Source organism: Homo sapiens, chromosome 3, assembly GCF_000001405.40.
Source record: "Homo sapiens chromosome 3, GRCh38.p14 Primary Assembly".
Classification (NCBI taxonomy): Eukaryota; Metazoa; Chordata; class Mammalia; order Primates; family Hominidae; genus Homo; species Homo sapiens.
In genome coordinates, this window is record NC_000003.12 from 32,860,256 (window position 1) to 32,886,924 (window position 26,669).

The 26,669-nt window shown below is 45.6% G+C and overlaps 1 protein-coding gene across 1 annotated transcript in view, besides 4 other annotated features; it reads left to right on the forward strand.

The window, feature by feature from the left end:
- The window catches only part of TRIM71 (tripartite motif containing 71), a 79,828-nt gene that overhangs the window by 42,259 nt on the left and 10,900 nt on the right, over window positions 1-26,669 (forward strand). Inside the window, exons 2-3 of the mRNA NM_001039111.3 lie at window positions 13,563-13,730; window positions 25,679-25,813. Coding sequence (NP_001034200.1) covers window positions 13,563-13,730; window positions 25,679-25,813 — 303 coding nt within the window. The remainder of the gene's footprint in view (window positions 1-13,562; window positions 13,731-25,678; window positions 25,814-26,669) is intronic.
- Window positions 560-1,164: an enhancer, noted in NCBI's record as "H3K27ac-H3K4me1 hESC enhancer chr3:32902307-32902911 (GRCh37/hg19 assembly coordinates)". NCBI's record gives its function as "activates a minimal SCP1, AML or CMV promoter by ChIP-STARR-seq in naive H9 embryonic stem cells {active_cell/tissue: H9 hESC(naive)}" and the evidence as "EXISTENCE:reporter gene assay evidence [ECO:0000049][PMID:30033119]".
- Window positions 3,809-4,573: an enhancer, noted in NCBI's record as "H3K4me1 hESC enhancer chr3:32905556-32906320 (GRCh37/hg19 assembly coordinates)". NCBI's record gives its function as "activates a minimal SCP1, AML or CMV promoter by ChIP-STARR-seq in naive H9 embryonic stem cells {active_cell/tissue: H9 hESC(naive)}" and the evidence as "EXISTENCE:reporter gene assay evidence [ECO:0000049][PMID:30033119]".
- Window positions 9,230-10,033: an enhancer, noted in NCBI's record as "OCT4-NANOG-H3K27ac-H3K4me1 hESC enhancer chr3:32910977-32911780 (GRCh37/hg19 assembly coordinates)". NCBI's record gives its function as "activates a minimal SCP1, AML or CMV promoter by ChIP-STARR-seq in primed H9 embryonic stem cells {active_cell/tissue: H9 hESC(primed)}" and the evidence as "EXISTENCE:reporter gene assay evidence [ECO:0000049][PMID:30033119]".
- Window positions 12,446-13,249: an enhancer, noted in NCBI's record as "NANOG-H3K4me1 hESC enhancer chr3:32914193-32914996 (GRCh37/hg19 assembly coordinates)". NCBI's record gives its function as "activates a minimal SCP1, AML or CMV promoter by ChIP-STARR-seq in naive H9 embryonic stem cells {active_cell/tissue: H9 hESC(naive)}" and the evidence as "EXISTENCE:reporter gene assay evidence [ECO:0000049][PMID:30033119]".

A 26,669-nucleotide genomic window follows, 5' to 3' on the forward strand; every position in this document is an offset into this window, starting at 1 on the left:
TCAAGCAATTCTCCTGCCTCAGCCTCCCAAGTAGTTGGGATTACAGGCGCCCACCACCACGCCCAGCTATATTTTGTATTTTTAATAGATACAGGGTTTCGCTGTGGCCAGGCCGGTCTCGAACTCCTGACCTCAGGTGATCCACCTGCCTCGGACTCCCAAAGTGCTGGGATTACAGACGTGAGCTACTGCACCTGACCCCTCACACCTTTCTTTAAAAAGGCCTTTAAATTTGAGGTATTTTGCCTTTTATGCCTCATTTCAGTTGCCCTACTCTCCTCATTGCTCTACCCAGGACCCTCTAGATTATTGATGGTTGGTAAGAGAAGATCACCATTGCTCTCTACAGTTTGGAGTTTCTCTTGGGGAGGTGGGACGACTCTTAACCTGCCCAGTAACTGCCTAGATCACAGCCGTGGGGCCCACCTTCCTCAGGTTACTCCCCTGTGTAGGGGACAGATAGGTAGCTTCCATCTCAGAAGCTCCTAAAGCAGGCTGCCTGGCCTGGCCTGGGCTCTGCGTGGCTGGCCTGTTGCCCCTTTGACATTTGTAGAGGTGTCTGCAGGGTAGGTTTCCCACTTTTGGAGTAGAGGCTACAAACACTAACTTGAAAAGGGTTTTTAAAAATAAATCGTGGGGCTGGGCGCGGTGGCTCATGCCTGTAATCCCAGCACTTTGGGAGGCCGAGGCAGGCAGATCGCTTGAGTGCAGGAGTTTGAGACCAGCCTGGCCAACATGCTGAAACCCCATCTCTACTGAAAATTCAAAAATTAGCCAGGTGTTGTGGCACGTGCCTGTAGTCCCAGCTACTCTGGAGGCTGAGGCAGGAGAATCGCTTGATCCCGGGAGGCAGAGGTTGCAGTGAGTTGAGATCGTGTCATTGTACTCCAGCCAGAGCAAGACTGTCTCAATAAAATAAAGTAAATAATCTTTTTTTTTTTCTTGAGATGGAGTCTCTGTTGCCCAGGCCAGAGTGCAGTGGCACGATCTCGGCTCACTGCAACCTCCGCCTCCAGGTTCAAGCAATTCTCCTGCCTCAGCCTCCTGAGTAGCTGGGATTACAGGCATGCTTCACAATGTTGGCCAGGCTGGTCTCGAACTCCTGGCCTCAGGTGATCCACCTACCTTGGCCTCCCAAAGTGCTGGGATTACAGGCATGAGCCACCGTGCCCAGCCAATAAATAAATAAATTGTTGGCCAGGCGCGGTGGCTCACGCCTGTAATCCAAACACCTCGGCAGGCCAAGGTGGGAGGAACACTCCGGAGTTCAAGACCAGCCTGGGCAACAAAGTGAGTTCCTGTCTCTACAAAAAAATAAAAATCATTTTCTTTATAAGACTAAGCATCCCTCTTTCACCTGCTTTTGCACTGAAGATGTTTGCTCTGCTCTCGCTCATTTTGCCTTTTACTTACAGAGAAAGATGTCAAGAAAGGCTCTTGTAATTGCTGGAATGTCGGGGGGAAGATGAGGTACTGGGAGAGTGTGTCTGGCTTCTCTCTTTAATACTCTCCTTGACAGGTGCAGTTTTGGGGAATGCCATAGAAGAGCCCAGACTTGGGACTTGGAGACAAATCTCCGTAATTCACAGACATGCCCCAGCACCCACTCTTCCACACCCCCACACCCCACCTGAGCCTCGGCAATCCCAGTGCAGCACGGGTACTTCTTGGCATTCAGAGAATTCACAGAGGCCACGTGTGTGCTATCCACTGCTTCCCAGGATTGGTCACTTCCCAATTTAAAATAATTACTGCCTGTGAACAACTCTGTATTAAAACAAAATTTCTATAGTAATATCTTAACTGCTTGATTTTTGGGGGAGGAGGGGAGCAGGTGGGAGGCATTGCCTAGAAAGGTAACTGGCTCTAGGCCTTATCAACCAATAGGACAGTGTAACCTTGATTCACTAACCCTAATCAAGACAGAAGGCAACTAAGTAATGCAGGGGACAAGGACACAAGATGATGGAACTTGCAGAGAGGAGGGAAGTGCTCGGTTGTGTTAAAGGTAGAAAATGTGACTAGTAATATTTACTAACAGTTTTTATTACTAGTGTATTCTCATCTGAGTCTGTATTTCTGCTTCTCTTCTCAGGACAGTTTTACCCAGGTGATGAGTGCCTTCCCTTGCTTTAAAAAATTCTGCCTTTCTACACCATCTCAGCCACATGGGTGATTGAAACCTACTTGGCTTCTTTAGGAACTGAAAGGGTTTCAGGTGTACACTGTTGCCCGCTGTTTAAGAGGCGAGGACTGAGTTACATGGCCACCTACAGAGTCTGACCATTTTTTAAATGTCAGCCCCAAAGTACCACTGACTCTTGTCCATAGCACAACAGATTAAAACCTTGCCTTGCTTTTGCAACCTTGGAGGCAGCTGGAAAACTTGTGTGTCTACGTCCAAATCTGTCTTTCGTGTCCAGTTTAAAAATATATAATTTACATGGGCAGTGATCTCAGTGTTGGAACAAATCTCTTTTATTTGCTGCTGGAAGCTGCATGGGCCACTCATTAATACATCAGAGGTCAGATGCATGCCGGGGCGGCAGCTGGGACACTAATGATTTCATATGGCTTTGTATGACCGCTGGCCGCCTGTGGTGCTGTAAATCGGGACTCAGGGTTCTAATTTTTTCAAAACCTCCAGGGAGGTTGCCTCTTGCGAGATATAACTTAAGATAATATTTATAGTAGAGGGCAGAGGAAAAATAATACCTAATGGGAACATTGTGGAAAAAATGGTAGCAACCTATTAGAAGTAAATTATGTGGGGCCATTGGAGTTAACTCATTTATGGGCTCCATGAGTATTTTATTAGGTCCTTAGCTATGAAGAGTGCTGCGCTGTGGCCAAGCTCCAAGCATCACCCCCTCAACAACTTAGGTTGTCAGTGGAAGGATTCTCCCCTCACTTTTGGGAGGGAGGAGTATTAATTGAACCTTTTTTTTTTTTTTTTTTTTTTTTTTGGAGCTGGTCTTGCTGTGTCTGGCTTGAGCCAGGCTGACTGCGGTGGTGCATACATGGCTCACAGCAGCCTCGAACTCTTGGGCTCATCAAGCCATCCTTCTGCCTCAGCTGTGACTATAGGCATGCCCCACCATGCTTGGTTAATTTTTAATTCTTTTGTAGAGACAGGGTCTTTGTTGGCCGGGCTAAGTGTACATTTTGACTTTTGATGATTTATATATACCTGTGTAATCAATCCTCGCATCAAGATATAGATTTTCTCTAATTCCAGAAGGATTCCCTTGGGGTCCCTCTAGTTCACCCTCGTTCTCACCTGCAACTACTGTTGTTTTCTTCCACGTTGAGTTTTATCTTCATATATTAATAAATGGAGTTATGCAATATATTCTCTTGATTTTAGCTTTTTCACCAGTCTTAGTGCCTTTAAGCTTCTTGTATGTAGGTATATTTATTTATTTGTTTTTGTTTTTGTTTTTTTGAGACGGAGTCTCCTCTGTCACCCAGGCTGGAGTGCAGTGGTGAGATCTTGGCTCACTGCAGCCTCTGCCTCCCGGGTTCAAGCAATTCTCCTGCCTCAGCTTCTTGAGTAGCTGGAACCACAGGTGCCCACCACCAGGCCTGGCTAACTTTTGTATTTTTAGTAGAGATGGGGTTTCACTATGTTGGCCAGGCTGGTCTCAAACTCCTGACTAAAAATGGTCCACCCGCCTCGGCCTCTCAAAAGTGCTGGGATTACAGGCATGAGCCACCACGCCTGAACTTCTTGTGTGTAGTTACTGACAAACATCCTGTTGTGTGTATGTACCACGGTGTATGTTGATGTGGAAGTTTTGTTTTTACTTTTAAACATCCAAGACTGATTGATTGAGGCAGGGTTTCTGTTGCCCAAGCTGGAGTGCAGTGGAATGATCATAACTTGCTGTAACTTTGATGTAACTTTGAACTCCTTGGGCTCAAGCAATCCTCCCACCTCAGCCTTCTGAGTAGCTATCAAGTTTTTATTTGTTCAAAACTATATTTGGGAGGCAGTAATCCAAAACACAACTCTGGCATTTTCTAAGCTGTCACTGAGTATTGTGTAGTGTAACTTGGATCTGTTAGAGGACACCCCAAGCACAGGTGTGGCACTCTTAGGAAGATGCCCTTTTATTGCAGAGCCTTCAGGAAATGTGTGAGAAACTGAAGGTGGTGGGCTGGTGGGCCATGAGTTTGCCTCAAGCTGTGTGGGGTGGGTGAAGATAACAAGGTGCCAGCCCAAAAAGCAGATTCTGATCTGGGAGTCAAGTAAGTCCAAAGGGCCTAGGGAGCTGGTGCCCGCTGGGTTCGCCAGAGGCAGAGTGTGGAGGACGTGTTGTTTATTCGAGATCCCCTGCTTTGAAAGGCAGGATGCAGGATGTCAACAGGGTCCTGACACCCCAGTGCCCCCAGGGGCAGAGCATGAGTGTCTGCCGTCTGCCCTCAGGGCTCAGGCTCAGGTCCGGTGTAGAGTGGATAGTCTGGGTAAAGGAAATGTCAGGCATAGCTACATTCCCCAGTATGCATCCCTCTTCCCCCACTTGGCATGTGTGTTGTCCCCCAGTTGGTATTTTGCAACATCATGATTATACTTTTAAAAATTAAGTGGTGTGTGTGTGTGTGTGTGTGTGTGTGTGTGTGTGTGTGTGTGTGTGTTCACAAAGGTCTGGAGAAGTGCTAATTTTAGCTCAACATGGGGGGTGCCTGTCATTTTCCCTGCCGGAATCCCCTCCTCTCCTTTTACCTCGACCTCTGCCCCTTATGGTTCACCTGGAGGATTGCTCCTGCCCTGTAAAACTCACTGTAGCAGGGCCAGGCGCAGTGGCTCACGCCTGTAATTCCAGCACTTTGGGAGGCCGAGGCAGTCGGATCATGAGGTCAGGAGATTGAGACCATCCTGGCTAACACGATGAAACCCCGTCTCTACTAAAAATACAAAAAATTAGCTGGGTGTGGTGGCACGCGCCTGTAGTCCCAGCTACTCAGGAGGCTGCGGCAGGAGAATCACTTGAACTCGGGGGTTGGAGGTTGCAGTTAGCTGAGATCACACCACTGCAGTCCAGCGTAGGGGACAGAGCAAGATTCCATCTCAAAAAAACAAAAAACAAGCAAACAAAAACAAACCAAAAAACCCACTGTTGCAGCCTGCGGAGGGTCAGAATCACGGAAAACTACATACACGAGTTACACCACCCTTTCTCAGGCCACACTGATGGCTGTGTGGGTTGGGCGGCAGCAAGAGACATATTCATGAAACTACTTTGTCTGACTCTGCCAAAACTGGTCGAAGGCGTTTGCTGTGCTGCCCAGGGCATTGTTCTTATCTGGGTTTTCATCTTCCTTAAGAGAGTCATTGCTGGGGGAAAATGATTTTCTTCCAGGATGAACTCATTTTCACACTTTTAATAGTTCTGATAGTTCCTGTGAGCCAGAAATGAGGCTGTTTCTCTTTTTATCAAGTCAGCAAGTAAGCCCAGCCAAATTCCAGCATTCAACTCTGTAAACAGAATTTAGTCACTTTCACTATCTGGACCTTTTAATTTGCCGCCCGCCGGCCCCCCCCCCCCCCCGCCCCACCTTTTTTTTTTTTTTTTTTTTTTTTTTTTAAGACAGAGTCTGACTTGTTCTGTCACCCAGGCTGGAGGCAGTGGAGATTTTGGCTCACTGCAACCTCTGCCTCCTGGGCTCAAGCGATTCTCCTGCCTCAGCCTCCTGAGTAGTTGAGATTACTGATGCCCGTCACTACGCCTGGCTAATTTTTGTGTATTTAGAGGAGATGGGTTTTGCCATGTTGGCCAGGCTGGTCTCAAACTCCTGACCTCCAGTGATCTGCCTGCCTCAGCCTCCCAAAGTGCTGGGATTACAGGCGTGAGCCACCATGTACAACATGACTTACTTTTAAAACATGATGCTTCCAGGATTTTTGTTTTTTTTTTGGAGATGGATTACAGGCATGCGCCTGTACTAGGATTACAGGCGTGAACCACTGCACCAGGCCTTTTTGTTTGGTTGTTTATTTGTTCTGTTTTGAGATGGAGTCTTGCTCTGTCTCCTGGGCTGGAGTGCAGTGGCGTGATCTCGCCTCACTGCAATCTCTGCCCCCTGGGTTCAATCTATTCTGCCTCAGCCTCCCGAGTAGCTAGGATTACAGGGCCTGCCCCCACACTAATTTTTGTATTTTTAGTAGAGGCAGGGTTTCACCATGTTGGCCAGGCTAGTCAACAAGTGATCTGCCCTCTTCGCACTCCCAAAGTTCTGGGATTACAGGCGTGAGCCACCACGCCTGATCAATGCTTTGTGTTTTGTGTGTTATTAGTAAGAGCTGTGTGTTCAGGAGAAACACCTAGACATGGTGGTGTGCTACTGGAGTATGTTGAGGCTCCGAGACTTTGGACAGGGCCGTGTCGATGGAAAATAATTCAGGGACTTGTGAAGCTGGACCACTTCACCAAGGGCCTGTGTGATTGTGGGGCCTGGTCCCACAAGCAGGGGAGCAGGTGATAGAAGGAACCTACGCAGTGTTTTGGAAGTCTTGTAGAATGGGGCATTGGGGGAGCAGGGGCTTGCGAGGTGTGGTTGGTTGGCTGCTGTTGGAGAGGAGTAATGGCAACTTTTTGGGGAGCAGCAGTCAGTGGTAGTGAAGAATTTTTAAAGAAAATTAGGGAAGAAGGGAGCATGGTGTGGTTTTTGGAGTCACATAAAAACTTAAAGTGAACAAGTGCTAACAGATGACATTTTATGTTTGTCAAACTATACCTCTCCCTGGGTACCAGCAGTTGCGATGAGTTCAGATGCAGAGATAACGGCATCCCTCTCTGATTTCAAGTTTTCCTTTCAAATTGTCTTGTCCATGGAGCCCAAACATTTAAATTTGAGATGAGTAGATGCCTCTGACCCCACTGCAGATTGTTCTTGGACACTCCCACTTTTACCACCCCCCTCCCCCTCCTCTTTTTTAGATCTTCACATGTTATATTGCTTGTTTAGCCTGGGAATGAATCTTGTTCAGCCAGACAGTATTACATGTGTACGTTTAATACTGTGCATTTACATAATACATATAATGGGACTGCAAAAGAACATTAGTTTTGCAGTGAAATACATAAACATTTACTAAATGACATAGGTAAAAATGATTGATCATTTTCACACCAGTTTCAGTTTTTAAAATTATTTTATTGACAAAAATTTGTGTGTGTGTGTATGTGTGTATATATACATACATATTTTTGAGACAGGGTCTCGGGCTCTGTGGCCTAGGCTGGAGTGCGGCGGTGCGATCATGGCTCACTATAGCCTTCATCTCCTGTGCTCAAGTGATCCTTTTGTCTTGGCCTCCCAAAGTGCTGGTATTGTAGACCTAAACCAGCATCCCCAGCCAGAATCTTACATATTTATTGTGTACAACATGTTTTGAAGTCTGTATGCATTGTAGAGTATGTATATTGAGCTAATTAACATGCATTGCCTCACATACTTATTTTTTTGTGGTGAGAACACATAAAAATGTACTCAGTGATTGTCAAAAATACTATAATAACTATAGTACCGTGTTGCACATCAGTTTTGCTGCCAAATAGTATATGGAACAACTTTTGTTTTCCAGAGCATCGTCTTGGATGTTGGAGTTGCAGAAAGGGGATTGTGGGCCTCAGGGTGTGTGTGTTAATTGCTTGTGTGTGGTGTGTGTGTTTTAATTCCTAACACCCCTTTTTTTATTGCCTGAGATTCCTTCAATTTCTAGAGATACCATGAAGCAGCCCCGCTTAATCTTATTTAACAGACGCTGCTGAGACTGCCAGAACGCAACACAACAAGACTTTTTCTTTCCTTGGACTGCTCCTCTTGTAGGCCCCTTTTCAATGTTGGCACCCATCAAAGCCTTCCACCCAAGCAGGAGTAGATCTTAACTCCAATTCCAACTGTGAACTGTGTCCATACTGACTGCCTCTCCTGGCATCCCCTGCTGGCCTTTTGTTTTTGGTTGTGTTGAGAACAGAAACTGGTACTTTGCCCTTCACATGGGTGAAGGTCGACCTGACTAAAAAGAATTCGGGAATTCTTACTATCCAAGCTTGCAAGTAGGTTTCCCCCAATAACCATTATATCAAGTGATGTAACAATTGAATATATTACCAAATTGAAAACTAGGGATTCTGTAAAGAACAAGGATGTTAACTGTGGCACTGCTTGCGATTTTTCAAAAATCAGGAAACAGTTTTACAATTTTATTAGCCTATACTCATTAAGTTGTGGTACATTCATATAGCAACATACCATGCAGCCATTCGGAAAGCCAGGCATCTCTGCACGGAGTGACCCAGAACATTCTCCAAGTTAATATAGTTAAGAGAAACTTTGTTTTGTCTTAAAAAACTAAGTTACGCCTAGAATAAAGCTTTTTTTTTTTTCATGGTTAAAGTGGAGACAATTGAGTGAGACATTAGGGTTTTTTTTTTTTTTAAAAAACTGTTTGCTTGTATTACTTTCTGCATTTGAACAAATACTTGTTACCTAGCCAAATAAAAAGTGTTTTGGAAACACTCCCTCCTCATACTCCCACCACAGAAAGGATAATGTGTCTGCAGCGGGGCTCTGTTGTCTTGAACTGGTGAGGACTATGCCTGAACTGGGTCCCTATTCCTTTCCTATATTTATCCAGGCCATAGTTGTGGGGCAGCACGTGGCCAGGGCTACAGGAGAGGCTTCTGCTGAGGGTTTGGGCTGCAGATTTGAGCACAAGCACTCAGTCTATCTCAGTCAAGTAAAGCGTTGTTTTAATATTACTTAATAGACTTATTTCATGGCTAGATTTTACCTCCTTGAACTTGGCTTATCATTTTTAAAACGAATCTTGTGTTGTCCCACGTGAGAACCTGCAGAGTAGCACACACAGGTAAGGCTTCTTCTGGGCCTCATTTGCTTCTGGAACCTGTTGTTGCCTCCACTTTACTTCTGTAGTGGGAAACTCAGAAACCCTCTTGGGTGGGTGGAGATCTAGCCAGGTGTCAGCGGTTCAGCCTTGGTTTGTGGGAGCCCAAGTAAATGTCCTCAGTCATTTTAAGGGATACCAAACTAATCTTTAAAAAGTTTACAGCAGTTTATGTATTTTAGTTGAGACATTTCGATGAACTTAAATGGCAATCTGGGCCTTCCTCTGTCCTTTCAGCTTACATTCTTCACTGATAGGGGTAGTTGTGTTTTAAACCTGAAGCTCATTCTTTCAGATGTCCCTTGGTGTGTGTGTTCCTTGTTGGGCCACAGATAGTGTAAAATCTAGATTCCAGAAGCCTGGGTGCACGTGCATTTGCATGTGCACACATGCGTGCACACACGTTCATTAACAAAGCATTTTATTTAAACACTGGCTAAGGTACAAACATGCCTACTTTGTATTTTTATTTATTTATTTTCCTTTAACCTCCCTCCCCCATTCCTCCCGGCCTAGTCTCCCGCCCGTTCCTTTCCTGCTGGGCTCACATTCCTAGGTCTTTGTCTCTGCCTGGTATTCTAGATTTTGGGGAGAGGAAGGCAATGGGTGGGACGTTCTGGAAGCTGGGGGCAGGGAAGAGGGTGGTCACTTGCAGGGTCAGAGGTCAAGCCTCCTCCATTTAGCTGGGGCAGCCGGATTGTCGCCAGGCCCGAGGGGGCGTGTCTGTGCATCTGCCCGGGAAGCCCCAAACAGGCCCTGGAATTCCTGCTGCTAGACGACCTGTTCTTCCCAGTCCCTTCCCCCCTTTCCCGGGAGCCGCTGTTCATGGCTACTACCACATTTCTGGCTATAGGACCCTCCACACAGCTCCAGTTTATTTCCTTAAAAATAATTTTACACCTGTTTCAGAGAGAATTACATCCATGCACATCCTTACCTATCGATTGTTTTAACAGCTCTAAAATTGTGGTTTTTCAGTTTCAAATTGTGGTTAGATGAGACATGGAGCTTCTAAATGAAGCATGAAATCCTACCAAAGTTCTGCTCCAACTTTTAGCTGGAAGGTTTATAAAAGTGGATTTCATTTTATAGTTTTTGGACAATGCATTCTTTTAAAAATTCATTGTTTACTAATAACGAGCACATTGAGGCCATTCTTTTACTCACTGGTAGCTTTTTATTATCAACCATTTGGGTGCTCCCTGTCCCCATCTCTGTTGCAGGCGGCCTGGAGCTGTGAAAGCACTGGCTCTTCTGAAACCACAGTGTGTTCTGGGTACTTAGAACTGCATCGATCCTGTGTAAAATGATACCAAGCAGGGATTGCATTCAGAGACCCCTTTCATTTGTATATCTGGGCTCTCAAGGCTGGTCACAGGAGGGCTCTGGTGTCGGCTCAGGGCACCCTGCCTTTCGCTGCCATACCGGCCACTACCTGTTCTGACCAGGATTTTTTTCTGGCTACTGCATCTGCAGAATCTTTTAAAACCTACCATTCATGGGGGGATTGCAAATGTCCAGCATCATCCAGGTTCTGTATTTTGAGGTTGATCTAAACCTAAGAAAAATCACCTTAATTCTTTATAGTTACATAGTTGGAGTCTGGAATGGGCACCCTGGCTCAGCCCAGAACTTACTACTTGTTCTGTTGTTGTTGTTTGTTTTGCACTCTTAGCCCGTGTTGCCTAGGCTAAATTCAGTGCCATGGTCACGGCTCACTGCAGCCTCAACTTCTTAGGCTCAAGGAATCCTCCCACCTCAGGCTCCTGAGTACAAGCGTGAGCCACCACGCCCAGCAATTTTTTTTTTTTTTTTTGGTAGTTTGGGCCCAAGTGTTCCTCTAGCCTCAGCTTCTCAAGGAGCTTGGACTACAGGCATGAGCTGCCACGTCCAGCTACTAGAACTTAATTTTGAAGCTCTTTAGTTTCTGTTGTCAAGTCTCTATTAGGTAGACTTTCTGGGGTGGAAGGGGGTCTTCCGGAGGTACCCAGTCAGGCCCCTTTTGTTTCACAGATGAGACTGAAGCCCAGACAGGTCAAGAGAGGTGATTGGACAGATGGTTCCATAGCCAGGTAGTGCCAGTACTCACTAGCCATGGAGATGAGAGCAATCTAGGTAGTTACAATTTGCAAGAGCCCCTTAGTCCGAAGGAAGCAGGAGAGTGCCATTCAGTCCACACAGCTGTCTTGAGAAGAGGGAAAGAACGGATGCGTTCTCAAGGTTGCTTAGCTGTTAGAAGCAGGGAGGCCACCCGAAGGTTTGGTGGCATGTTTTATTCACATGTACAAGAAACTTTCTGATGGAAGGGTTTTCACACTTCACATCAGCATAGGAGTGATCCCTTCATTCCCATGACAAATGGAGAGAGCAAAGGAAAGGAACGTCGTTCAAACTGGTAGAATTGCTTTAGCACCAGGTCGTAAAAAGGGATTGGCCAGGAATTTTTCCTGAATTTATCCAGCTCAGCATCTTTTGATTAGTATTTATACTTGAGAATTTTAGATTTAAAAGATTATTAGGATTAGATAATCTCTGAAGGATAGATCAGCTTTAAAAGCAACTGATTTAAAGGAGGCAAGTTGCTGCTACCTGGTTTCAGTCTGCCACCATTGCTGGCAAAGCACTGCAGTGATCAAAATTAGTAGGAAAGTTACAAACCTTACCACATTTCCCTTGTATAAAGTAGGATCTGGGCCGGGTGCGTTGGCTCACGCCTGTAATCCCAGCACTTTGGGAGGCCAAGGTGGGTGGATCACGAGGTCAGAAGATCGAGACCATCCTGGCTAACAGGGTGAAACCTCATCTCTACTAAAAATATAAAAAAATTAGTTGGGCGTGGTGGCAGGCACCTTTAGTCCCAGCTACTCCCAGGGAGGCTAAGGCAGGAGAATGGCATGAACTCGGGAGGCAGAGCTTGCAGTGAGCCGAGATCGCGTCGCCACTGCACTCCAGCCTGGGTGACAAGAGCAAGACTCTGTCTCAAAAACAAACAAATAAAGTAGGATCCATAAAAACCTCCTGGTTATAGCAGAACTGTTACTTAACAAAAGTAAAAACACAATATCCTAAATCTTTCGTTTTTCCTGTTTCTGAATCGTAAAGTTTCTAGAGAACCAGTTTAACCCATCCTAGATTACACACTTCCCTATTAACTCAATTAGCCCCGAGTGGAGTAACTTCTGTGTGCTTGAGTGAACCATTTAGGGGGAGCATTTTTCTAGTGGACACACTTTATGTGAAGATTTTGGTTGTTAATAAAATAAAGAACTTGGAGAAGGAAAGAAGCAGCAGTCTCCCTCTGTTTGCCCCCAGCCCTCTCTTTTTGGAGCTCTCCGCCTAAGAAAACCTTCTGGGCCACTTCCAAGCCTTCTCCCCATCTCTGTCTCCCACAACACTCTGCCTTGCTTCTCACCAGAATGAGCTTCTATTCAGTCTGCGCAGAATCGCCTGGAATCTCACATCCTGGATCTCCACCATACCTAGCAAGGTGCTTTGTACTGGTGATGAGAGAGCTGGTGTCATACCTGTGTTGGAACCAGCTCTGTAGAAGGCTCATGCTGGCTTCCCTGCTGTGTCTTTGCTAACACTGTGGCCTTGAGCACTCCCCAACTCCTGTCCTCACCTGGAGATGAAGTGTGGGTGTTGTATTTGTATACTGCTTCCCTGCCTGTTGCATGTTAGCTAGCTTCCCCTCATGCCCAGGTGTACCAGAGGCAAATTTAAGCTCTGCTCTTGAAAGCAATCCAGCAAACATTTACAGAGTGGCGCTAAGTGCCCTGCTCTGTGGAGAGATACAGTAATGAGACTGGCCCAGTTTCTATGCCAAGGAGTTTTCTCTCTTGAGAGCTCCTTGTTTATTAGCAGGTAAAGGTTGTGCCAGCCCTTCTCTCTCTTCCTCCCTCCCTCCCTCCCTCCCTCCCTCCCTCCCAGCGTGCTGGGCCCCAGGGAAGTGTAGAACATCACATAAAGCAGTTCTGTCAGCACTGGCTGCCTCCCAGGTTCAACTCCTTGGAATAACTTGGCATGAAGAAGAAAGGCAAGGAGCTGGCTGACCTTACCACTAGCTTTTTGCCTTCGTTCCAGAAACTTAAGCCTGTAGCTTGCTTGAGTGCCTGGGAGAACCATGCTTTGCACTTTGCATTACTACCTGTGGTGTGAGGATGGTTGTTACTGGCTCTTAACCTTGCTTCACACATCTAGGCTAGAGCAGCAAAGGAAACTTTTCTGGTACATTCTTACATCCAGGCCACTAATATCAGACTAGGTAACACAGTCTTAACAACTTTTCTGGATAATGAAGCTAAGATTCAGGGCAAACTCTCATGCCAGGAGGTTTGTTTTGTTTGGTTTCTGCCTTCGAAGTGTCTCTGTTACAGTTCTGAATGAGACTAGAGTGGGATATGGCATTCAGTTGTGTTCCCCCCTCCATTCCCCCTTAATTTGGGGCAGAGAGAGTGGGAGAAAAAAGGAAGCAGATATTTTTAGTTATGTTTGCAGTTACGCCACTGCTGCCTCTCCCTTTGGGGTGTGCTTGCTCATTGGGGAAGCTGGTCGTTCGGTTGTGAGAGCCAGGGCCCTCCAGTTGCTGTCTTCCCTCCTCCTCCCGTCCTGCATCTCCATTTATGCCTGTACCCTCTCTTGTCCCCAGGTGCTGCACCTGTACTGTGACACTTGCTCTGTACCCATCTGTCGTGAGTGCACAATGGGCCGGCATGGGGGCCACAGCTTCATCTACCTCCAGGAGGCACTGCAGGACTCACGGGCACTCACCATCCAGCTGCTGGCAGATGCCCAGCAGGGACGACAGGCAATCCAGGTGAGCCTTCCCTGCCCTTCTGCAGTTCCCACGTGAATCGAGCCCCCCTTTCTGTCGGGTGGCATGGACAGACAATTGGGCAGATTCCAGTGTGGGGGGTGGAATAGTGACCCAAATGAGCTCAGGTGACATCCCTGCAGCAGCGGTCCCTTTAGGGGTTCTGGCAGTCTCGTGAAGATGTCAGGGATGTGGCCAAAGTTACTGGTCAGATTTCTAAGCACCTAGCCTGGGCCCCAACATACCACCTGCACGTGTCCCACCCAGCCACCTCCCGAAATCAAAGTGGACATTGGCACTTTCCAGCCAGGACTGCAGAAAGGCTGGGTGCTTAATGCTTATTACTACTACTACTACTACTACTACTACTACTACTACTACTACTACAACATATTTTTTGAGATGAGTCTTGCCCTGTCACCCAGGCTGGAGTGCAGTTGTGTGATCTCGGCTAACCACAACCTCCACCTCCCGGATTCAAGTGATTCTCCTCCCTCAGCCTCTCAAGTAGCTAGGATTACAGGCGTGCACCACTGCACCTGGCTAATTTTTTTTTTTGAGACGGAGTCTCACTCTGTTGCCCAGGCTGGAGTGCAGTGGCACGATCTCGGCTCACTGCAAGCTCCGCCTCCCAGGTTCACGCCATTCTCCTGCCTCAGCCTCCCGAGTAGCTGGGACTACAGGCGCCCACCACCACGCCCGGCTAATTTTTTGTATTTTTAGTAGAGATTGGGTTTCACCACATTGGCCAGGCTGGTTTTGAACTCCTGAGCTCAGGTGATACACCTGCCTCAGCCTCCCAAAGTACTGGGAGCTACTGAGCCCAGCCAATGCCTTTTATTTATTTGTGTTTTTGAGACAAGAGTCTCACTCTGTCACCCAGGCTGGAGTGTAGTGGTGGGATATCAGCTCAGTGCAACCTCCGCCTCTCAGGTTCAAGTGATTCTGCTGCCTCAGCCTCCCAAGTAGCTGGGGTTACAGGCGCCCGCTGCCATTCCCAGCTAATTTTTCTATTTTTAGTAGAGACGGGGTTTCACCTTGCTGGCCAGGTTGGTCTCGAACTCCTGACCTCAGGTGATCCACCTGCCTCGGCCTCCCAAAATGCTGGGATTACAGGCGTGAGCCACCATGCCCGGCCTAATGCTTTTTAGACAGAGACCTTTGTGATACAGATTTACTTATTTATATGTGAGAAATTAGTGAGCAGAATGTTATGTGAGGTTCGGTGTCTTCAGTCCTTTCCTGGATGGTGAATCCCCTGTAATTGAAACTGTTGTTTCTGTTGAATTCCTATCAACAGCTAGGGAGGGGCATGTGTAACTTTGATAATTGGCAGGGTTCTCTCACATAGGTGATAGTGTGCCTGAATTTCTATTAAATCTTGTCTGATCCAGGTGACAAGGTTTTAGGAAATCAGAAAATTGTGACTTTTCCCTGTGTTATAGGATACTTTGAAAGTCAAGAAAAGTTGTTCACCCTCTAGGAGAAGAAAAATTGTTCACCCTCTAGGAGAAATTACATAGGAACCATTCTAGAATATTTATATAAGTGAATTGTTTTAAAAGTAAGATTCTGGCCAGGTTCAGTGGCTCACGCCTGTGTAATCCTAGCACGTTGGGAGGCCGAGGTGGTGGATCACTTGAGCTCAAGAGTTTGAGACCAGCCTGGGCAACATGGGGAAACCCTACAAAAAGTACCAAAATTAGCCGGGTGTGGTGTGACACTCGCCTGTAATCCCAGCTACTTGTGGGGCTGAGGTGGAAGGGTCACTTGAGCCCCAAAGGTGGAGGTTGCAGTGAGCCAAGATTATGCCAGTGCACTCCAGCCTGGGCAACAGTTAAGACTCTGTTTCAAAAAAAATCCGTTTTGAAAGTGCTAAAGAATTGAGATCATGCCTCTTAACAGAAGAGGGAGGATTTGATTTAATAAGTTTCTCAGCCGCTATCACATTCCCATGCATGATACTGAAACAATCTTTTCTGATGAGTCAGATTTTATGATGTTCAGATCATAAAATTGGAAGTTTGAGAGACTTTCTTGAATGACTAATCCTGTTATTGTTATGCCAGTATTGCTCATTGTCTTTAAAATGCCTTGAGTGTCTCTGTGTTGCTCTTCTCCTTTGTCAGTGTCTTCACCTGTGCATCATTCTGTTGTATATCAGTGCATCTGTCCCTGCGGATGAAGTGGTTTGTGTCTTTCATTTTATGCCACGACAGTTGGGACCTTGACAAATAAATGCCTTACCCTGCTGGTGTCTCCTCGACACCGGTGCCCTCGACACTGTGGCATCGCCTGAGGAACTTAACCACTGGTGTCAGCAGGGCACGGTTGCTCAAACCTGTAATCCCAGCACTTTGGGAGGCCGAGGTGGGTAGATCACCTGAGGTCAGGAGTTCGAGACCAGCCTGGCCAACATGGTGAAACCCCGTCTCTACTAAAAATATAAAAATTAGCCAGGCATGGTGGCAGGCACCTGTAATGCCAGGTACTCAGGAGGCTGAGGGAGGAGAATTGCTTGAATGCAGGAGGCAGAGGTTGCAGTGAGCCGAGATCGTGCCACTGCACTCCAGCCTGGACGACCGAATGAGACTCCATCTCAAACAAACAAACAGACAAACAAAAAGAGCCACTGGTGTCTAGGTCTGAACTCCTAGATTGTGATATGATTTTATTAACCTCTTACTCTCTTAAGAGATTGAAAACAGTTGGAGCATTATTGAGAGAATGCTGGTGCTCTCTGTGCTTAGTGGGAAAAGCCACCATGGGGGAGAAAAAATGAGTTGTAACAATTTGCTGGAGGCTTATTAAGGAGAGCACCAACAAATCATGAGTGGTTAACATGGTGAAATCTCAGAGAAATGGAAATTCACTGGAAATTCTGTGGGGAGAAAAGAGTGTGGGGAAAATAAATATAGTCAGCTGTGTAAGTGGTGAGAACCTAGGCATAAATCCTAGAGGTATGATTCAAATGTTAGTTGAAAGTGTGTGCCCAACATTAATCTGAATACTAGATCATGGGGCATTTTGGGTAGAGGCATTTTAGGTCTGTTAATCTATAACGCCACAGCCAGGTACACTACATAGATTGTGATTTCCTAGAAAGTTTTTGTTTAACCATAACTTGTGTGTGTTTAGCATCCTTAAGTCTTGCTCTATCGCCCAGGCTGGAGTGCAATGGTGCAATCTTGGCTTACTGCAACCTTTGCCTCCCAGTTTCAAGTGATTCTCCTGCCTCAGCCTCCCGAGTAGCTGGGGTTACAGGAGCCTGCCACCACTCCCGACTAATTTTTGTCTTTTTAGTAGAGACGGGGTTTCACCATGTTGGTCAGGCTGGTCTCGAACTCTTGACCTCAGATGATCCACCTGCCTCGGCTTTTCAAAGTGTTGGGATATCAGGTGTGAGCCACCGCGCCTGGCCATTTTTTTTTTTAAGAGACAGGATCTCTCTCAAACTCCTGGGCTTTTAGGCAATCCATCCCCTTTCTTTGGCCTCCCACGTAGCTAGGACTACAGGTATGCTCCACCACACCCAGCTAATTTTTGTATTTTTTGTAGAGATGGGGCTCGCTTTGTTGTCTAGGCTGATCTCACTCAAACTCCTGGCTTCATGCGATCTTTCACCTTGGCCTCCCAAGGCGCTGAGATTAAAGGCATCAGCTACCTTGCCCAGCCTGACAATTTCTTAAAATGTGACACAAGTCTTCATCCCTTCAAATTTTCTCATGAGATGGCAACAATTCAGTCACATCTTCAAGCTCCAGTTCTAATTCTAGTTCTCTTTGTATTTTCACCACATCTGCAGTGACTTCCTCCACTACTTCTTTCTGCTACAAGAAGTTGATCCCAACCCTAATCAGTGACCTTGAGTTCACCCATTAGGGTTGGGATCAGCTTCTTCAAACATCCTATTAATGTTGATATTTTGACCTCTACCTATGAATCACGAATGCTCTTTTATAGTATCTCCAGTTTTAGTATATGTGCTGCCAAAGTGAGTACCACACATGTTCTTAATGGCACCTGGAATGGTAAATTTTTTGCAAAAGGATTACAAATGAGTTTGTCCAGATCCATCAGAGGAATCACTATCTGTAGTAGCTATCGCCTTACGAAGTTTATTTGTTAAATAATAAGACTTGAAAGTTGAAACTACTTCTTGATCCACGGGCTGTAGAATGGATGTTGTGTTACCAGACATGAAAACAACTTTCGTGTCCTTGTGCATCTCTAGCAGAGTCTTCTGGGTGACCAGGTGCATTGTCAATCAGCAGTAATATTTTGAAGGGAATCTTTTTTTCTGAGCGGTAGGTCTGAACAGTGGGTTTAAAATATTCCGCAAACCGGCCTGGCATGGTGGCGCAAGCCTGTAATCCCAGCACTTTGGGAGCCCGAGGCGGGTGGATCACCTGGGATGAGGAGTTTGAGACCAGCCTGACTAACACAGAGAAACAGAAACCCCTTCTCTACTAAATACAAAAAATTAGCCGGTCATGGTGGCACATGCCTGTAATCCCAGCTACTTGGGAGGCTGAAGCAGGAGAATTGCTGGAACCCAAGAGGCGGAGGTTGCAGTGAGCTGAGATTGCACCATTGCACTCCAGCCTGGGCAACAAGAGCGAAACCCTGTCTCAAAAAAATAAATGAATAAATAAATAAAAATTTTAAAAATTCCGCAAACCATGCTACAAACAGACATGCTGTCATCCAGGCTTTGTTTTTCCATTTGTAGAGCACAGGCACGGTAGATTTAGCATAATGCTTAAGGGGCCTAGGGTTGTCAGGATGGACAATGACTGTTGGCTTCAACTTAGTCACCAGCTACATTAGTCCCTACCAAGAGAGTCAGCCCGTCCATTGAAGCTTTGAAGCCAGGCATTGACTTCTGTAGCTATGAAAGTCCTACATGGCATCTTCTTCCAATATAAGACTATGTCTTTCCAATATCAGGCTGTCTCCTTCTAATAAAAGGATGTCTTGAAAGTCTGTTGTTTAGCTGTCTTCATCAATTACCTTAGCTTGTTCTTCTGGGTAACTTGCTGCAGCTTCTATATCAGACTTGCTGTGTCACCTTACACATATATGTTTTGGAGATAACTTGTTTTCTTAAACCGTATCACTCATCCTGTCTTAGCTTCAAACTTCTGCAGCTTCCTCATCTCTCACCCTTCATAGCATTGAAGAGTTAGGTCCCTGCTCAGGCAGGATTAGACTTTGGCTTAAGGAGATGTTATGGCTGGTTTGATCTTTTCTCCAGATCATTAAACTTTCTTCATATCAGCAATAAGTCTGTTTTGCCTCATTGCTGTTTGAGTGTTCACTGGAGTGAACTTCTAATTTATTTCAAGAACTTTACTTTGCAATCACAGCTTTGACTGTTTGGTGTAAGAGGCCTAGCTTTCAGCCTGTCTGTAGCTTTCTACTTGCTTTCTTTACTAAGCTTAATCATTTTAGATTTGTAGGACCTTTTCTTTCACTTGAACACTTAGAGGCCATTGTAGGGTTACTAAGTGGCCTGATTAACACCAAAGATCACTTGTCACAGATCAGCACACCAGATAAAATAATAATGAAAAGTTTGAAATACTGCAAAAATTATCAAAGTGTGACACAGAGACAGTATGGGCTTTTGGAAAAATGACACCAGTAGATTTGGTTGATGCAGTATTGCCACAAATCTTCAATTTCTTAAAAAAAAAAAAAAAACTGGCTGAGTACTGTAGCTCAAAACTGTAACATCAGCACTTTGGGAGGCTGAGGCGGGAGGATCACTTGAGCTCAGGAATTCTATACCAGCCTGAGCAACATAGTGAGATCTTGTCTCTACAAAAAATGAAGAAGGTTAGCCAGACCTCATGTTGCGTGTCTGTAGTCCCAGCTACTCGGGAGGATTGCTTGAGGCCTGGAGGTTGAGGTTGCAGTGAGCCAAGATTACACCACTGCACTCCAGCCTGGGCGACAGAGCAAGACTCTGTCTCAAAAAAGAAAATGTGGGTTTTTCTTTTATTTTCTTTTTTATCTATGAAGTGCAATAAAATGAGGTATGGCTATAGTTTGTGATTATATTTTTTATTATTTTTATTTTTGAGACAGTCTGGCTGTGTCGCCCAGGCTGGAACGCAGTGACAGATCTTGGCTCACTGCAACCTCTGCCTCCCTGGTTCAAGTGAGGAGCTGGGATTACCGGCCTGTACCACCACGCCTGGCTAATTTTTGTGTTTTTAGTAGAGATGGGGTTTCACCATGTTGCCCAGGCTGGTCTTCTCAAACTCATGGTGTCAAGTGATCTATCCGCTTCCACCTCCCAAAATGCTGGGATTACAGGCTTGAGCCACTGCACCCAGCCTCATCCATTTATTTTTAAGATCAGTTTGTGTGATTGTTGTAACCATCTAATAAATCATTTCCAGATGAGGAGGATATGTATACTGAAAGTATATTTCCCCATTGAATGTCTGGTATTAAATTGCAGATGTCAGATGTTCAGTTAACTGTGAATCAGAGTTCCTAACTTATGACTTTAAAGAGACTCACAACTTGTCCTGAGAGTCTTGGTTCTGGAAAGAGCTCCAGATACAAATCCTTGAGTTAATTCTGGATTGTCCTATAAAGAGAATCTACCCTGGTGAGTGTCTAGAGTTGGCCATAACAAGAACAGCATGGAAGATGTAGCACCTCATCACTGTTGTAGGGCATTTAGGGGGCAACCACTCATTTTTATTGCTTTTTTGAACATTCTGTTACTTTCACTTTGCTGCTTTTCTTGAATATATGACATTTTGGTCATGTATGTTATTAGAGGATTCCACAAGGTAAACTGATTTGCTGGGGATAGCGATAAACAGGATCAGGAATAGTTGGTTTCTACATAAGAAAGTTTTGATTCTTCAATTACTATATTTCATCACATTTAAGATGCCATTAATTGTAAGGTGTACATTTATTTTACATACAACTAACAAAGGAAGAAACCCACGGACAATTTAGAGATGAATTATAGATTCAGAGAAAGATGTGATGAAAATTTTATATATGTATATATATATATTTTTTTGAGGTGGAGTCTCACTCTGTTGCCCAGGCTGGAGTTCAGTGCCACGATTTTGGCTCACTGCAACTTCTGCCTCCCGGGTTCAAGTGATTTTCCTGCCTCAGCCTCCTGAGTAGTTGGGATTACAGGTACCCGTCACCACACCTGGCTAATTTTGGTATCTTCAGTAGAGACGGGGTTTCACCATGTTGGCCAGGCTAGTCTCAACTCCTGACCTCAGGCAGTCCACCTGCCTCAGCCTCCCAAGAGTGTTGGGATTACAGGCATGAGCCACTGCGCCTGGCCAAAAATTACATTTTAGAGTGCACCACAGTAGCTCCGCATACCCAGTATGGTCGCCTACAAGTGTATGGGTGATGATTGCATTCTCTTACCTTCTGACCGTTGGGCTCTTTAAATACCACTGTTCTCCACAGTTGGCATCACTGATCGATATCTATATTCTTTCCCTTGAGAGCCAGATTTGGCCCAAGTCTCCACCATGCTGACTGACTGCCACTCAGTAGTCAGCTGGAAAGTGCACTGATTTGCCAGTCCAAATGTAGACCCTCAACTTTTAAATGTTTAATTAGATCTGTTAACATCCCAAAGATGGTTAAATTTTCTCTCAAGCACCATGCTTGTTGGGTGATTTCTCTTTTCTTACTGTGAAATGTATATATCTGTTTTGGAAGTTTACCCAGCCTTTCTACATTGTCATTTCCCCCAACCTATCTGCCCTGTATGTCCTTCAGATGCCCTGCTGTTAGAGGTTGGGAACTAGTTCAATAAGTCCTGGTCTGCACATCTTGGAATGCCATGCTTGGCTGGGTCGTGCGTAATTTGGAAGGGAAAGACCTATTTTTCCACTATGCATTGGGTAGGGCTTTTGTGACTCTCAGCCCAAGGAATATCTTTGCATGCTTGCTGATTATTAAAATTGCAACAAAAGCTTTGAATCCCCCTTTGAACCTGTTTGAAAAATGGAAGAAGCAATTTTTGTCATAAAATGTGAGTTCCAGACATGAGGGATAAGCGATAAGCCTGGCTAGGAGACTAGGGGAAGAGGTGAGTAGGGTAGTACACCCATTCCTATGCAAAGGGAGTGGTGTTTTTGTTTTTTTATTTTTTGAGACAGAGTTTTGCTCTTGTAGCCCAGGCTGGGTCTTTTTTTTTCTTCTAACATATGATAGAAGTTAGATGTAAAAAAATCAATTTGGCAAGTAGTATGACATTAATATTAATAGAAAGCAGTTTGCCACCTCTGCTTTCTATTGAGGAAGGATTAAGAAATGTTACAGACATAGGTTTGGTTGCCTTGGTGAAATATTAGCTTGGACACCAGTTGTGCTAATTAATAACCAACACATCTAAAAATATAGAGGGTGCCGGTTACTAAGTTCTACTCTTTGGGCTCTAACCCTGTCACACTCTTGCCATGTGACACTGGGGCTGTGACTCTTCAAACTACATGTATGGGAAAAGGACTTCTTCCCTTTTTCTTCCAATTCATATTACTTATATTATTATCATATTATATATTTGTTTTGAGACAGAGTCTTGCTCTGTCACCCAGGCTGGGGGGCGCGGTGGTGCAGTCACAGCTTGCTGCAGCTTCGATCTCCCAAGACTCAAGCAATCCTTCCAGCTCAGCCTCCCAAGTAGATGGGACTATACACAAGCGCCACCATGCCTGGCTAATTTATTTTTTTGTAGAGACGGGGTCTCACTCTTGGCCAGGCTGATCTCAAACTCGTGGGCTTAAGCTATCCTCCTGCCTCTGCCTCCCAGAGTGCTGGGATTACAGGTGTGAGCCACCGTACCCGGCCCCAATTTTTAATAGCAATTCTTTTTCACCCTGACAGCAGAAGTTGGTTTCAATTTCAGATCTTGCCACTCTCAGAATTAGCTGGATGTAACCTCACCATCTTATTCTGGGTTCTTGTAACCACAGCTTTCTTTCCTTTGTTCTCTCAGACAAAGCAGAAGAAGCTGCTTCTGCAGGTACTCTCTGCCTCAGTGTGCTCTTTGCCCCAGCAGTTCTCCCATACCTGTTTAACCATTTCCCTATGCTAAATTCTGTTTAAATGTCTAGGGAGCTCTCTTGCTCTCTCTCGCTTTCTCTCTTTTTCCCTGGATGAATCCTGACAGCGTGAGATACTAAAAATGTATCAATGCTATTATGATACCTGCTTATATGCATGCTCATTTGCTTGGCCATTCTGATTTTTTAACTTTTAGGTAATGTGGATGTAATATCTGTCTGCTTCACTTTATTGGCTTCTGTATTAGTTTATCGGGTCTGTTGTAACAATTTACCATAAACTGGATTACTTAAAACAGCAGGCCAGAAGGCCAAGATCAAGGTGTCGGGACCATGCTCCCTCTGAAGGCCCTCAGGAAGACTCATTGCTTTCCTCATCCTGGCTTTTGGCAGTTGCCAGCATCCTTGGCTTGTACCTGCATCAGTTTCCGTTTCTGCTTTGGTCTTCACGTGGCTTTGTTCTCTGTATCTGTGTCTGCACATGACCCTCTGTGAACATCAGTTTTGGGATTTAAGATTCAACTTAATCTACTATAACCTCATCTTAGCTAATTATATCTACAAAGACCCTATTTCCACACAAGGTCACATCCTGGCCCACATTTAGTTGAGCCTGATGTTTGGAGGGACAATATTTAACCCAACACAGCTACCTAGTGCTTTGGTAAACATGGTTATGGCTAGAGATGTGCAAATATAAAATTTATAGATTGTTCTGCTAATTGTTCTGCTAAATCCCAGGTGGCTTAAGTATCATGGGCTTTGTACTTAGCTCCTGCTTTGATATGTAATGGTACTTGAGACAGGATTGTAAAGGTGGAGCAGAAACATTACAGAAATGTGCTGTTCCCTTCCAGCTTCAGAAGGGAAGTGGCATCAGAACTGGGTTTGGAAATTTAGGGTGAAGCATTCCAGGCTGTGGATATCCTGTGAGCCCTCTGGATCTACCCAGTTCCCCTGTGAATCAGCTCAGTGGATCCTTAGGTCACACAGGATCCTCTTAGGCAGAGAATGCAGTGTGGCACCTAACCACTGGAGTCACGGGTGGTGTGCTTTTTTGTTTTGTTTTGTTTAAATAAAGACCAGGTTTCACCATGTTGGCCAGGCTGGTCTTAAACTCCTGAGCCCAAGTGATTTGCCTGCCTCGGCCTCCCAAAGTGCTGGGATTACAGGCATTAGCCTCTGTGCCTGGCTTCCATGGGTGTTTTTGGGGCTGCACCTTTGAGCGTGTCTTGCATGCCATGAATGTGTCAGCTGTCATCCAGAGCAAGTCAAACTGTTGGGCAGGAAGAATATTCATAAAAATAAGGTAGATCGTGTATTGTATGATGATGCCATCTATATGAAATACCCAGAACAGGCCAGGCGCAGTGGCTCATGCCTATAATGCCAGCACTTTTGGAGGCCTAGGTGGGCAGATCACTTGAGCCCAGGAGTTCGAGACCAGCCTAGGCAATGTGACAAGATTCCCCCATCTCTATTTGAAAAAAAAAAAAAAGAAAGAAAAAGAAATGCCCAGGACAGACAGATCTGTAGAGAGACAGTAGATTAGTGATCGCCATGGGGTAGAAGGAGGGAAGTGGAAATGACTCCTTAATGGTAATGGCCTTTGCTTTTTGGGTGGTGAAAATGTTCTGTAGCTAGATAGTGGTGGTGATTATACAACACTGAACATACTAAGTGTGACTAATGGTAAATTTTATGATAGGAGCTAAGTGGCCTGACGGGACACAATGGCTGAACTTTTGTCCCAGGTGTTTTATCAGCTGAGAACTATTAATAACAGTGTTTTACTCTGTGCCAGGTGCTGAGCTCAGCTCTACCCATGCATTTCCCTCACATCTACCTTTACCAAGGTTGGAGAGGACCAGGAGCTTGTCCAAGGCCTTACAACTAGTAGGAGGCCCTAAACTAACCCAGGATTGGAACCTGGGTTACCTGACTCCAGGGATGACTGGCCTGGTTTGCCCCGGACTGTCCCAGTTTTAGCATTGAAAGTCCCACATCCCAGAAACCCCTCAGTACAGAGCAAACTGGATGATTGGTCACTCTGATTCCTAAGCCCATACCAGGCTCCAGTTTGGGCTTCCCTGACACCCTCCTGATTGAATCACCTACCCGAAACCTGTTGTACCAAGAGCAATCACTTTGGAATCCCTGATTTAATAGCTCGGTATCTCAACCATGTAATATTAATGATAACACCATGCCTTCTGTCTGGATTAATTAACAATAATACGTCTGATTAAACTGGCTGATTTACTACGGCTGGTACAGGGTGGCGTGTGTGATGACGTGTAGATGGTCTCTGACCACGGGGCACAGCTCCTTAGGTAGATCGGGGGATATTCCCAGTGTGCACTTGGTGTTCGTTCTGGCTGGGGTGAGCTGTGTTGCCAGTGCCTTGACAAAAGCAGGATGGATTAGCCACTACCCTGTCGCACACCCTCACGTAAGGGATGTTCCTGGCCTGCGGGGTTTCGCCTAGGCAGAGGGTGAGGCCAGGAAGTCTGGGGAAGTTGCTTGTGTGGCTGGAGTTGTACATTTTACATCTGATCCTCATTCCCAGTTTTCATCTGTCACCCAGCTACACTGGTTTTGCTGTGTCAGAGTATCTCTTAATAGTTCTGACATTCACTGTGTAGGTGCTATTTCTCATGCAAAGAAATCCAGCTCTTGCCAGCAACTCCTTTAGTTACATGTCAAACAGATGCCAGTCTCTCCCTAAGTGCCTGTTTTCCTTCCAAGGGAGTGAATCAAGTGGTCTGGGAACCCAGGGTGTCAGCTTTTCAAGTCTGACAGAGCAGATTCAAATGTTTTGTATAAGGAATGACAGTCCTTCTAATGCCTCGAAGTTGTTTCTTTTTGGTTTTCCAGCTGAGCATCGAGCAGGCCCAGACGGTGGCGGAACAGGTGGAGATGAAGGCGAAGGTTGTGCAGTCGGAGGTCAAAGCCGTGACGGCGAGGCATAAGAAAGCCCTGGAGGAACGCGAGTGTGAGCTGCTGTGGAAGGTAACAGGGAGAGCTCCCCCACCCAGGCTGTGCCCACTCGGCTTCCATGAACCTCAGCAGCACTCTACGGGACTCTTTACAGATCCAGGAGCCAAGCTCTAAGTTTAAAACACTTCGTAATTTTCCAGAAAGCCTGTTAGCAGAAAGATGCAGGGGGTCCCTGGAACATTGTGGGTGCTGTCTGCAGTAAAACAACAAGAAGCCTTTTCAGAAGTACGTGGGTAACCAAGACTGGAAGCGGTCTCCAGTTTTATATTGCATTCACTCAAAAGGAGGCTAAAGAAGGGAGCATAGTCGAAACTGTTGTTAAGAAAGGCAGGCTGGTAGGAAACATCCCTATTTTTGGTGACCTGGCTGGTTGCACTTCCTGACCTCTTGTGGAAAACCAGTTTTCCTCTTCGGAGGGCAGTGAGTGTGTGTCCTTTCTTCCTGTTGGAGCAGGAAAGAGTGCCGAGCACACTAGTGTGCTGTTTAGATAAAAATCAGCTAGAAAGACTACTTGCCCCACCCAAGCCAGCATTCCAACTGTTCCTTTTCTGATTTTATGTCCCCACTCAGAAAGGAGGAGAGTTAGGTCTATGAAAGGGCCAGTACTCCATGCCAATTCTTTAACTATAATTACATTCTCTGAACACACGAAAAAGACTAGAGCTGATTTATAAGGGTATCCTTGTGGAGTGTGCCTGTTTCCATCTCCAAACAATATGATGATGGTGGGGATGGCACCTCAGTTTCTGCAAGTGAACTTTGCTAACTACTGGGCCCTACAATGTTCTGCAAGGTGTCCCTGGATTTTGCATTGCATTTTCCATTTAGTTAACTTCACAACTGGATGGATGCTTTCTGCCTCTTCTGA